The sequence below is a fragment of the Homo sapiens genome, chromosome 10 (genome assembly GCF_000001405.40).
Source record: "Homo sapiens chromosome 10, GRCh38.p14 Primary Assembly".
NCBI lineage: Eukaryota > Metazoa > Chordata > Mammalia > Primates > Hominidae > Homo > Homo sapiens.
Window position 1 is genome coordinate 63,441,415 of NC_000010.11, and position 12,984 is coordinate 63,454,398.

Here is a 12,984-nt window from a genome sequence, read left to right on the forward strand (position 1 = left end):
ATAATAGTAGTAATGAACTTACAAAGTTTCCATGGGGACGAAGTAAGCTAATACATATAAAGTGCTCAAGATTAAGACAATACGTAGCACACAGGAAGTACTATATTAATGGGAACTAATACCAATCACTCCTCCCTTCCTCCTGCATTAGATCATAAGTCCTTCTCAAAATTATCTCATTTTGAGTTCCTCAACTTTACTTAACGCCCTCTTCTCAGTTTTCCTTTTCCAAGCATCACCCAGTTTTCAACAAAATCACATCATAATCAGCTGCTGACTTAAAGGGTTAACTCCAACATATGGTGGGAGTGAAAAAAACCCTGACTTTGATCCCTTTGTACTGCCACACTCAACCCTCTTCCTTTGTTTTTATTCTCATTATTCAATCACTTTCAGTTCTCTGGCCTGTTATTCTACGGCTATTATAATCACCTTAATAAATACCTTTGTATTCTGCTCCTCTCAATCCTCTTCTCAATGTTAACAGCGTTAGGTGTTTTTGAAGCATGGGAGACCCAAGTGAATAACATGTACTAGACATTTAAATATTCAAGAATATTTATATAGCACCTGTTATTTGTAAAGCACTGTTCTGTGGACTACACATCTAAGGTATTAAATGTACATACTGATGACTGGTTGAGGTAACTGGTGAGATCTTCAGCAAGAAAATTAGACCTGGTAAAATGATGTACAGACAAGCAACCAAAAATACTGTCCAAAGATTCAGGAAGACTGATCTAATCAAGAGTTGAGTTTTGCCATTACAGGGTAAAGAGTATAGTGAACAAGCCCAGAGTAGGATGTCCTAGACTGCCAGGGAGAAAAAACGCCAACAATTTTTAAACCTGGGTATATATCAATTTGAAATCAGTTATTCTTAATAAATCTAGGATACCAGAGAACTTACAATGCAGTTTAAAGTATATGACACGCACACACAAAATACATTAAGACAATGTTGAATATATATGAAGAAAGTATGTGTATTCATATTTGTTTCAGATTTGACTCAAGAACGATTAAACTTATAAACTTCTAAAAAGAAGAGACTTAGGTCATTATATCATCTGTAACTTCTAGCAATGCAGCAGAATGTTATGTATTTAATGTGCATAAAATAAATGCATTATAATTCAAAATGTAACCAACCAGAAAACGAAGAGAAAGTTTTCAAGATGGCATAAAAATGTGGCAAGTGTTTCTGTTTCCATGCCATACATTTCTTGCCTCCAAGCAAATATTCACATTATTCTCCTCTCTGGAATACAGTCTCTTCATCAAACACAACTCTTACCCATCCTTTATATAATCCAGCTTCTCCATTAAGCCTTCCTGTCATAGAAAGTATAACAATGCCACATTTTCATATTGTTCCTTCTCTTAATATCTACAGCACTTATTACTACATAATCCAATCCTTAAGTATTGAGTTTTTTTTCCTCCTAACACCAAATACATGATGTCTTTTCCAATACCACTTCTCCGACTCTCTGACATCAACTAGGTGCCCTACAATTCAATTCTGACACTACCCAGAGTTAGCATCAGACTCCACAGATTTAAGTCTCACAAGACTGCCATTACTTCATACACCAGTCACAAGCATGGGGTTCCCCAATCCTCTGATTGATCAACTGACCAGCAATAATTGGGGGCTCCCAGGCCCCCTCCTCCAGTTAGGTAATTTGGTGCAATAACTCACAGAACTCAGGAAAGCATTTTCTTACTAGATTATTATTATAAAGGATACAACCCAAGAACCACCAAACAGAAGAAATGCATGGGGTGAGGTAGGAAGTAAGGGAGCTTCCAGCTTCCACACCCTCTCTCAGGGTGTCACCCTCTCAGCTCTCCAAATCCCATCATTTACAGGGTTTTGTTTTTTTTGTTTTGTTTTGCTTTTTCTTCTTTTGACACAGGGTCTGACTCTGTCACCCACGCTGGGATGCAGTGGCAGCATCTTGGCTCACTGCAACCTCTTCTTCCTGAGTCAAGTGATTCTCCAGCCTCAGCCTCCCGAGTAGCTGGGACTACAGGTGTGAGCCACCGCACCCCGCTAATTTTTGTAATGGTTGTAGAAACAGGGTTTTGCTATGTTGCCCAGGCTGGTCTCAAACTCCTGAGCTCAAAGGCACCCACCCAACTTGGCCTCCCAAAGTACTGGGATTACAGGCGTGAGCCACTGCTCCCAGCCTTTTGACAGGTTTTTATAGAGGTCTGGTTACATATGCAAACCTTTTATAGAGGTTTGGTTACATATGCCACTGGTAATTTACTCTATCTCCAGTCACTCCCCACTCCCCAGAGGTTAGGTCATGGAGATGAGAGTGTTCCAAGCTTCTATTCAAGGTCTGGTCTTTTTGGTGACCAGACCATACCCTGAAGTTATCTAGAAGTCCACCAAGGGTTGCCTCATAGAAGAAATGACACTTCTATCACCCCTATCACTCGGGAGAGTCCAAGGGTATCAGAAGCTCTGTGCCAGGAACTGGGAACAAATAACAAACATGTTTCTAAATATACAACTGTATACAGTAGTATGAATCAACCGCTGAATATTCATCAACTCTCTCCACTAGAAGTAGAAATTTCTTGAGAACGGGTTTACTTCTTAAATGCTATGTTAGCCTACAACACTGACCACATACATAATCAATACTTGATATTTATACATTCAAAACATTTACTGAGAGTCAATTCATAACAGTAAGTGACTGAGGAGTTTTCTGATTTCATATATGCATATTACAGAGTTTTATTTTATTGGTTTTACTAGGATTTTTTCAAAATAAAAAGTGATGCATCTCAAAGAATTAAAGATAAATTTCAAAAAATTCTAGGACATTTCTATTTATTTATTTATTTATTTATTTTGAGATAGAGTCTCACTCTGTCACCTAGGCTGGAGTGCAGTGGCACAATCTCGACTCACCGCAACCTCCGCCTCCCAGGTTCAAGAGATTCTCCTGCCTCAGCCTCCCGAGTAGCTAGGATTACAGGCGCATGCCACCACACCCATCTAATTTTTGTATTTTTAGTAGAGACCGGGTTTCACCATGTTGGCCAGGCTGGTCCTGAACTCCTGAACTCAAGTGATCCACCTGCCTCGGCCTCCCAAAGTGCTGGGATTACAGGCGTGCGCCTCCGTACCCGGTGGACATTTCTATTTAATTAATTAAACAAACAATTACTGAATACCTACTATCTTTTTTTTTTTTTTTTTTGGAGACAGAGTTTCACTCTTGCTGCCCGGGCTGGAGTGCAATAACACGATCTCAGCTCACTGCAACCTCCGCCTCCTGAGTTCAAGTGATTCTCCTGCCTCAGCCTCCTGAGAAGCTGGCATTACAGGTGCCCACCACCACGCCCAGCTAATTTTTTTGTGAATACCTACTATCTACTAAGCAATGTTCTCAATGCTGGGAATACAGTTTATCAAAGCTGATAAAAGTCCATTTAATGGAGCAATTTAATTCTAATGCAGAAAAAGAAGTACAATGTTTAGTATGACAGAAATAAGAGACAAGGGCCAGATGCAGTGGCTCCCACCTGTAATCCCATCACTTTGGGAAGCTGAGGTGAAAGGATCGCTTGAGGCCAGGAGTTCAAGACCAGCCTGGGCAACATAGTGATACCCAGTCTCTACAAAAAAACAATTAAAAAAAATTAGCTGGGTGTGGTGGTACACATCTGTAGTCCCAGCTACTTGGGTGGATCACCTGAGCCCAGGAATTTGAGATTGCAGTAAGCTATGACCACGCCATCGTACTCCAACCTGGGTGACAGAACAAGAGCCAGTCTTTAAATGATTTTTATTTTAAAAAAGAAATAAGAGACAAAGCAAGTAGAGTGATATTTGGTGATAGATGATAGAAAATGTTGACAGAGGAGGGAAGAGGTCAATTTTAGATAAGGTAGTCTTCAAAGAAGACCAAAATGAGCAAGCATGTTAACATTTGAACATACTTACCAGAAAGAAGTGATGGAGTCATGTGGGTATCTTTGGGGAAAAAATTCTAGACAGAGAAACAAGTGCAAAGGCCATAAGGGGAGACCAGACCTGACATGTTCAAGGAACAGCAAAAAGGCCAAGTAAGAGGGTAATAGAAGATAATGTCGATGTGGAATGACTGGAAAGCAGGATATCATGTAGAGTCTCTCAGCCCATTATAAGGCCTTCATCTTTTATTCTTAATCAGTTTAGAAGCCTTTGGAGGCATCTGACCATAAAAGTAACATAATCTGACTGTTTGCTATAGGCACTATAGACTTTTATGGGTAAGAACTAGTTAGGAGGCAGTTAGATATCTAGTTACAAGTAACTAGTTAAGTGACTACTAGAAATAGACTCAACAGACTCTTAAGAGGAAAATCTAGGCAAAAGATAATGTAGGTTTGAACTAGTATAATGCTAATAGAAAAAATGACATGTGCTGGGATCTGAATTTTTTTTTTTTTTTTTTTTTTTTTTTTTCCAGACAGAGTCTCACTCTGGTTACCTAGGCTGGAGTGCAGTGGTGTGATCTGGGCTCACTGCAGCCTCAACCTCCCAGGCTCAGGCGATTCTCCCACCTCAGCCTCCCAAGTAGCTGGGTCTACAGGTGCGTGCCACCACGCCTAGCTAATTTTTTGTATTTTTAGTAGACAGAGTTTTGCCATGTTGCCCAGGCTGGTCTTGAACTCCTAGACTCAAGCAATGTACCCGCCTTGGCCTCCCCGAGTGCTGAGATTACAGGCGTTGAGCCACCACGCCCCGCCTGGGATCTGAATATGTTTTATAGATAGAACCAACAAGACTTTCTTGACAGTTTGGATATGGGATGTGAGAGAAAGGAGTCCAGGATGACTGCAAGGGACCTAAACTAGAAGGATGGAGTTGCTATTTACTGGATAATGAAGACTCAAGGCAGAACAGGTTAGTATCAGGAACTCAGCTGCGGACATATTAAGTCTGAGATGCCTATTAGACATCCAAATAGAGACAATGAATAAGCTGTTTCAACAAGAGTCTGAGATTTAGGGGAGAGATCCAAACAAGGACATAGATATAGAAGTCTCCAGCATATAGATGGTATTAAAGGTTATAGGAATAGATGTGACCAAGAACAAGAGCGTAGCTAGAAAAGACGTCCAAGAAATTAGCCCTTAAAGGATTGTAGATATGAGGAAAACCTTCCAAGGAGAGGCAAGAAAGACAGATACGAGAAAAACCAAGTGAGCATAATGTCCTAGGATGCAAAATAAACAAAGTACTTGAAGGAAAAGAAGGTGATTAACCATATTAAATGCTGCTGATAAGCCCAGTAAAATGAAGACTGGAAAATGATGCTTGATTTTAAAAAGACGAGGTAATTTGCAACCTTGATCACTGCAGTTTCCTTGGAGTAATGGGGGCAAAAGCCTTTCTAGAGCAGGTTCAAGTCATAATAGGAGTCAACAAACTGGGGACAATCTGTATAATACCAAGCACTTTACAAGCCAAAGAAGCCAAAGATAGAGACTATTTTCCTTACAAACTAGAGATTCCAGTTTCTCTGGAATCACCAGGAATTTCCTATCTTTGTGACATACTCTGTTATTATATTTATGTTTCAGGTTATTTGTGAGGGATAGGTATAACTCTAAGGACAAAATATCTGTAAGCATTTTATAACCAGGAAAAAAAAAAAAGACAAAACAGTATTTAAATAAAAATTCATCTTCTCAAGAGACTCTTAACAAGAGGAAGGAACAGTAAGTGTTAATAGTCACATTTTTATCAAGCAAGTTTCTCAAGCTTGAACTCATACACAGCCTCCCATAGAGCACATCACATCACAAAAGCACTCAAAGGTTTATAGCTTCCCTGACCTCAATTCAGTTCTTCTCCATGTTCCCACATTATTTCTACAAAGCTTCTCAGACACCTCCTCTTTATCAACATAGTAAAAAGCAGGCTACAGTATCTGGAAAACTTTGGAACAGAGGAAGAAAAAAACTATAATATTAAAAGGTACAAAATGTTAATGCATTTAGATTCCCCTTCATTTTTATTTTTGTCTGTAATAAACTTCAACATATTCTAGACCTCTTTCATTTCCCAATGAACAATTAAGTGACCAGTCAAAATTTCACTAAGCTTATATATTTTCCTTCACATCTGCTGGGTACTCTAACATGAATCATAATATTCCAAATTACTTAGATGGACAGAAATAATAAAGGTAACAGTTTATAACCTGAAGTGATCAAATCTTATTTTCTATGGTTTTGTGGCATCAATATCACAACTAAAAGGAATCAGCAGTATAAGTGCATTGTCCATCTAGTTGCAGTATGTCAACCATAGGGGAAGGTAGGTGGTGAACCCCATCTCTACTAAAAATAAAAAAATCAGCTGGGTATGGTGGCACACACCTGTACTCCCAGCTACTTGGGAGGCTCAGGCAGGAGAATCACTTGAACCCAGGAGGCAAAGGTTGCAGTGAGCTGAGACCACGCCACTGCACTCCAGCCTGGGTGATGGAGCAAGACTCTGTCTCCAAAAATAAAAATAAAAAGAGAGAGAGAAAGAAAAAATTTCCTTGAAACAAAGTCTAATAAAGTATTGTGAAAACCAAGGTTATTGCTTTTGTCCTATGTAAAAATAAAAAAAGACATTAACAGACCATAAATACCTAAAGCGCCTATCCTCTTTTCATCCTTTGTGCATTACTGAATTTAGTAAAACTAAACATTTTCCCAATACATTTTATTTTATTTTAATTTTATTTTATTTGAGATGGAGTCTTGCTCTGTCACCTAGGCTGGAGTGTAGCGGTACAATCTCCCCTCACTGCAACCTCCACCTCCCAGGTTCATGGGATTCTCTTGCCTCAGCCTCTCAAGTAGCTGGGATTACAGATGCATGCCACCATGCCCAGCTCATTTTTGTATTTTTAATAGAGGCGAGGTTTCATCATGTTGGCCAGGCTGCTCTCGAACTCCTGACCTCAAGTGATCCACCTGCCTCGGCCTCCCAAAGTGCTGGAATTACAGGTGTGAGCCTCCACACCCAGCCCTAATACATTTTAAAATATCACAAGTACCTCAGCCAAGAATTCAGAGTATAACCATTTGTTGTTTGAAGTGGATACATTCTGATCTGTTATTTCCTCAACCCTATCAATGTTTAAAAACATTAGAACCTGAAGGAAATACATGAGAAAGTCAGTTTGCTATTCTCCAAATTTTAACCCTTGCTAAAGTATAGTGTTCTAGAGAAATAGAAATAAAGCAGTTCTCTAAAACTTGACAGAGGTGAGAAATCATTTGAAGTCTATTGCAGAGAATTAAAAGAACTCTATAAAAGGTCTACATATATATCATGCTAAACACATTGGGATTGTATTGAATAGATAACAGCATTTTGAAAAAGTAGTGTTTAAGATACTTCAGGAGGTCGGGCGCGGTGGCTCACACCTGTAATCCCAGCACTTTGGAGGCAGAGGTGGGCGAATCACCTGAAGTCAGGAGTTCGAGCCCAGCCTGGCCAACATGGTGAAACCCCTTCTCTACTAAAAATACAAAAATTAGCCAGGTGCGGTGGCGTGTGCCTGTAATTCCAGCTACTCAGGAGGCTGAGACGGGAGAATCACTTGAACCCAGGAGGCAGAGGCTGCAGTGAGCCAAGATCTCACCACTGCACTCCAGCCTTGATGACAGAGCAAGACTCCGTCTCAAAAATAAAATAAAATAAAATAAAATAAAATGTAAAGGATTCTAATATATACTTGCTTTGTATAGTAAATAATCATCACTAAAATGTTTTTAAATCTGTATTTTGAATGAGAAATTTTTTGTTACAGTTTCACTTGAAGATGAACTGGTACACAATCTAAAAGTGAAATTCTGTAAAATAAATATTATATTTCCATTGATCATAATGATAAAACAAAAGACATGATAAGGAAATAACATCTTGAACAGTTTATTAAAACTTTAGGCAAGATTTAAGAAGCTAGTAACATTATTTCACTTTTTCTTTATAACACTTTTCATATATATAAAGTCTACTGTAACTTTATTAAGCCTATGAATGAAAAAAGCTACCAAGCTATTATATGAGCTAAAAATATATACTGGGAAAAGAAAGATCACATTATTTTTATTCCAAAAGTTGTGTCTGAAGAAACAAATGAGTAAAAGATATGTATTAATGATTCAGGCATATATCAATATACATCTAAGTGTCAAAATATATAGTGTCTAAGAATAAGCCTAACAAACACAGGACGTATATGAAGAAAATCATATCCACTGGAGAATATTTAAAAAAATCAAACATGAATAGCTGGAGGGATACTACATGTTATTTGAAGTGCAGACTCAGTAATGAAAAGATATTCATACTTCCTAAATTAGTCTATAAAACTGTACACAATTCCAAGCAAAGTTAGGCCAGGTGTGACGGTTCTTGCCTGTAATCCCAGCATTTTGGGAGGCCGAGGTGGGAAGATCACTTGAGGCCAGTTTGAGACCAGCCTGGGCAACAAAGGGACACTCCATCTTCAAAAAAAATTTAAAAATTAGGCAGGCATGGTGGCACATACCTGTGGACCCAGTAACTTGGGAGGCTGAGATAGGAGGCTCACTTGGGCCCAGGAGGTCCGGGCTACAATGAGCTGTGATTGTGCCACTGCACTCCAGTATGGGTGACAGAGTGAGACCCTGTCTCAAAAAACAAAAAACAAAAAAAGAGGAAAAGAAAAGCAAAATTAGACCAGGGTATTAGTGTGAGAAAGGCAAAGAAACAATGAAAGGCATCACAAAATAATTTTTTTTTTTTAGTTAAATGCAATTAAAGCCAGGTGCAGAGGTACCCATCTGTAGTTCCTGCTAATTGGAAGGCTGTGGCAGGAGGATCATTTGAGGCCAGGGGTGTAAAAAAGGATATTCATACACTGATGTTCACAGCAGCATTATTACCATAGCAGCATTATTACCATTATTACCATGACTCTGCCTGTGAACAGCCATAGGACTACTGCCTGGGTAAAAGAGTGAGATCATGTCTCTTAAAAAGAGAAATTAAAAAAAAATTATATACCATAACTGAGATTTATTGCTGGAATGCGAGGATGGTTCAACACACAAAAGTCAATAAATACAATACATTCACATAATGAAGGGAAAAAAAATTTTATGATCATCTCAATTGATGCAGATAAAGCATGTGACAAAGTCAACATTTTTTCATAAAACACTCTACCAACTAGGAAAAGAAGGAAAATACAGCATAATGAAGGCCAGGTATGAACATTCCACAGCTAACATCATACTCAATGGTGAAACACTAAAAGCTTTTTCTCTAAGATCAAGAGCAAGACAAGGATACCTGCTGTTGCCACTTCTATTCAACGCAGCATTGGACTAGTCAGAAACTTAGATAAGACATTCAAATTGGAAAAGAAGAAGTAAAATTACCTCTGTTCAAATGACATAATTTGTTATGTACAAAACCCTAACAATTTCACACACACACAGAAAAAAAAAAAAAAACTCTTAGAGCTAACAGATTCGGCAATGTTGCAGTATACAAAAATCAACACAGATAAATCAGTTGTGTTTCTATAAATCAACAATGGACAATCTGAAAAGGAAATTATTAAAGCAATTCCATTTACAGTAACATCAAAAAAATAATACGTAAGAAACCAAGGAGACAAATGACTGGTACATATCAAAGGAAATTAAACACACAAATAAATGGAAAGACATCTGTGTTTGTGGATCAGAAAATCCGATATTAAGATATCAGCACTACCCAAAGCCATCTACAGATTCAATACATACAAACCCTATTAATATCCCCATGTTTTCTACAGAAATAGAAAAATCAATTCTGAAATCCACATGGAATCGCAGGGGACCCTTAACAGCCAAAACAATCTTGAAAAAGAACAGAGTTGAATAACTCACACTTCCTGATTTCAAACTTACTACAAACCCACAGTAATCAAAAACGCTGCAGGACTGGGATAAAGACAGCTATACTGTCGGTCCTCTGTACTGCATTCATGAGTTCAACCAATGATAGATCAAAAATATTCAGAAAAAAATTTAAAAAATATGAATTTGAAAAATACAGTATAACAACTATTTACAGAGCATTTACACTGCATTAGGTATTATAAGTACTATATAGCACTGACATTGTATTAGGAATTTTAAGTATTCTAGAGATGACTGAACATATACAGAAAGAAGTATGTAGGTTACATGCAAATACTATGCCACCTTAAGGCTGATAAAGCACTTGACCATCCATGGATTTGGGGGCTCTAATCAATCCCCCACGATACTGAGAGACAACTGTACAGATGAAGACAGAGACCAGAGATAAACCCCTGCATATATGGCCAAATAATTTTTGAAAAAGGTGCCAAAACTATTCAATGGAAAAAGGACAGTCTTTTCAATAAATGGAGCTGAGAAAATGAGATTAACAGATGTAAGAAAATAAAGCTGGACCCTTATTTTACACCATACACAAAAGTCAACTAAAAATGGATAGAAGAACTAAATCAAGAGCTGAAACTATAGAAGACTTAGAAGCAAATGAAGACAGGAAAGCTTCAATAACATTAGATTTGGCAGCAACTTCTGGGAAATGACACCAAAAGCACCAACAACAAAATAAAAGATGGATACATTGAACTACATTAAAATTTATAATTTTCCTATGCATCAAAAGACATTATCAAGAATGTGAAAAGGCAACCCACAGAATAGAGAATATATCTCTAATCATTTAGCTGATAAGGTACTAATAACCAGAATATGTAAAGAACTCCTATAACAAAGCAAAACAAAACAAAACATGCTGAATCAAAACTGGGTGAACAACTTAAAACATTTCTCCAAAGGAGATACACAAATTGTGAACATGCACATGAAAAGATGCTCAAAAATCACTAATCATTGGGAAAATTATCATAATGAAATGCCATTTCACACTCACTAGGATGGCTATTTTCAAACAACACCCAGGAAATAGTAAGTGTTGACTAGGATGTAGAGAAACTGGAATCCATCTTCATTGCTGTTGAGAACATATAATGGTGCAGCCACTGTGGAAAACTGTGCAGTGGTTCCTCACAAAACATAAAATTACCATATGATCCAGCAATTCCAATTCTGGGTACATACCCCAAGGAAGTAAAAAGCAGGGACTTAAATAGATATGCTGATATTCATGGCAGCATTATTCACAATAGCCAAAAGGTAGAAGCAATCCTTCTACCCTTTGGTAGATAAATAAAATGTGGTATATATATGCAATGGAATATTACTCAGCCATAAAAAAGAAGTGAAGTTATGATACTTGCTACAACACAGATAAACCTTGACATTATGCTAAGTTAAAATAAGCCAGACACAAAAGTACAAATATTGTATGATTCCACTTTTATGAAGGACAGGCAAATTCACAGAGACATTAGATAGAGAGTTTCTGTTTGGGATGATAAACTTCTGACAATGGATAGTACTGATAATTTCAAAATATTGTTAATATACTTAATGTTACTAAACTGTACACTTAAAAATGGTTAAAATGAGCTGTGCGTGGCTCACACCTGTAATCCCAGCACTTTGGGAGGCTGAGGCAGGCGGATCACTTGAGGTCAGGAGTTTGAGACTAGCCTGGCAAACAGAGCAAAACCCCATCTCTACCAAAAGTGCAAAAACTGGCCGGGTGTGGTGGCAGGTGCCTGTAACCACAGCTACTCGGGAGGCTGAGGCATGAGAATCGCTTGAACCCAGGAGGCGGAGGGTGCAGTGAGCCGAGATGGCGCCACTGCACTCCAGCCTGGGTGACAGAGCAAGACCCTGTCTCAAACAAACCAAAACAAAAATAGTTAAAATTGTAAGTTTTGTTACATATATTTTACAATAAGAAAAATTTTTTAAAGAATGTCCATTATTGAAAATGAAGAGTAATGAACAGATTTGCTTACCTATTAAGATTCTATAAAACTGCAATCATTAAAACACTCTGATCTTGCGGTACAAGAAACAGAAAGATATATGGAATATAACAGATAGTCCACAAATATTCCTAAAATATAGCAAAAGACACAGACATTTTATATTACTGGAGAAAAAGTGAATGTTTTAAAATATAATTTCAAATTAGAAAGAATTTCTTAAGCTGAAACAAAGGCCTGATGCCAAAGGAAAAATTTTTACTGATCCTTTGCGTCTGTCAAGCAAAGCCATACAGAATAATGTACTATAAGTAGTTAAAAACGGCAAGAGACTAGGAAAAAACTTGCATGTGAAAAAGCAATAGTTTTTTTTTGTTTTTTGTTTTGTTTTGAGATAGAGTCTCGCTCTGTTGCCCAGGTTGAAGGACAGTAGCGCTACTTTGGCTCACTGCAACCTCCGCCTCCTAGGTTCAAGCGATTCTCCTGCCTCAGCCTCCTGAGTAGCTGGAACTACACCCGGCTAATTTTTGTATTTTTAGTAGAGACTGGGTTTCACCATGTTGGCCAGGCTGGTCTTGAACTCCTGACCTCAGGTGATCCGCTCGCCTCAGCCTCCCAGAGTGCTGGGATTACAGGCTTGAGCCACTGCACCCGGCCTCCAATTCTGTTTGTATCATCCCAATTTTTTTCTACTAGTCAGAAAATTACATGTTTTAATTTTTAACTTTTTAATGGTTACTACAGAATAGCTGTATCCAATTGAATAGCCACATCTACACTTTTTGCAATGATGGAAATTTTCTATATTTGTACTATCTGAGACTGTGGATATTAACCATATGTGTCAACCAAGCGTACAAAATGTGATCGGAGCTCTAAAAGGAGAAATTGATTTTTTTTTTTTTTCTTTTTCAGACTGAGTCTCCCTCTGTCACCCAGGCTGGAGTGCAGTGGCATGATCTCAGCTCACTGCAAGCTCCACCACCCTGGTTCAAGATTCTCATGCCTCAGCCTCCAGAGTAGCCGGGATTAC

General features: G+C 38.1%; 1 protein-coding gene across 10 annotated transcripts in view; it reads right to left on the minus strand.

Moving 5' to 3' along the window:
- Positions 1 to 12,984, minus strand: part of JMJD1C (jumonji domain containing 1C) — a 354,666-nt gene that overhangs the window by 274,190 nt on the left and 67,492 nt on the right. The gene's annotated exons all lie outside the window — the stretch shown is intronic.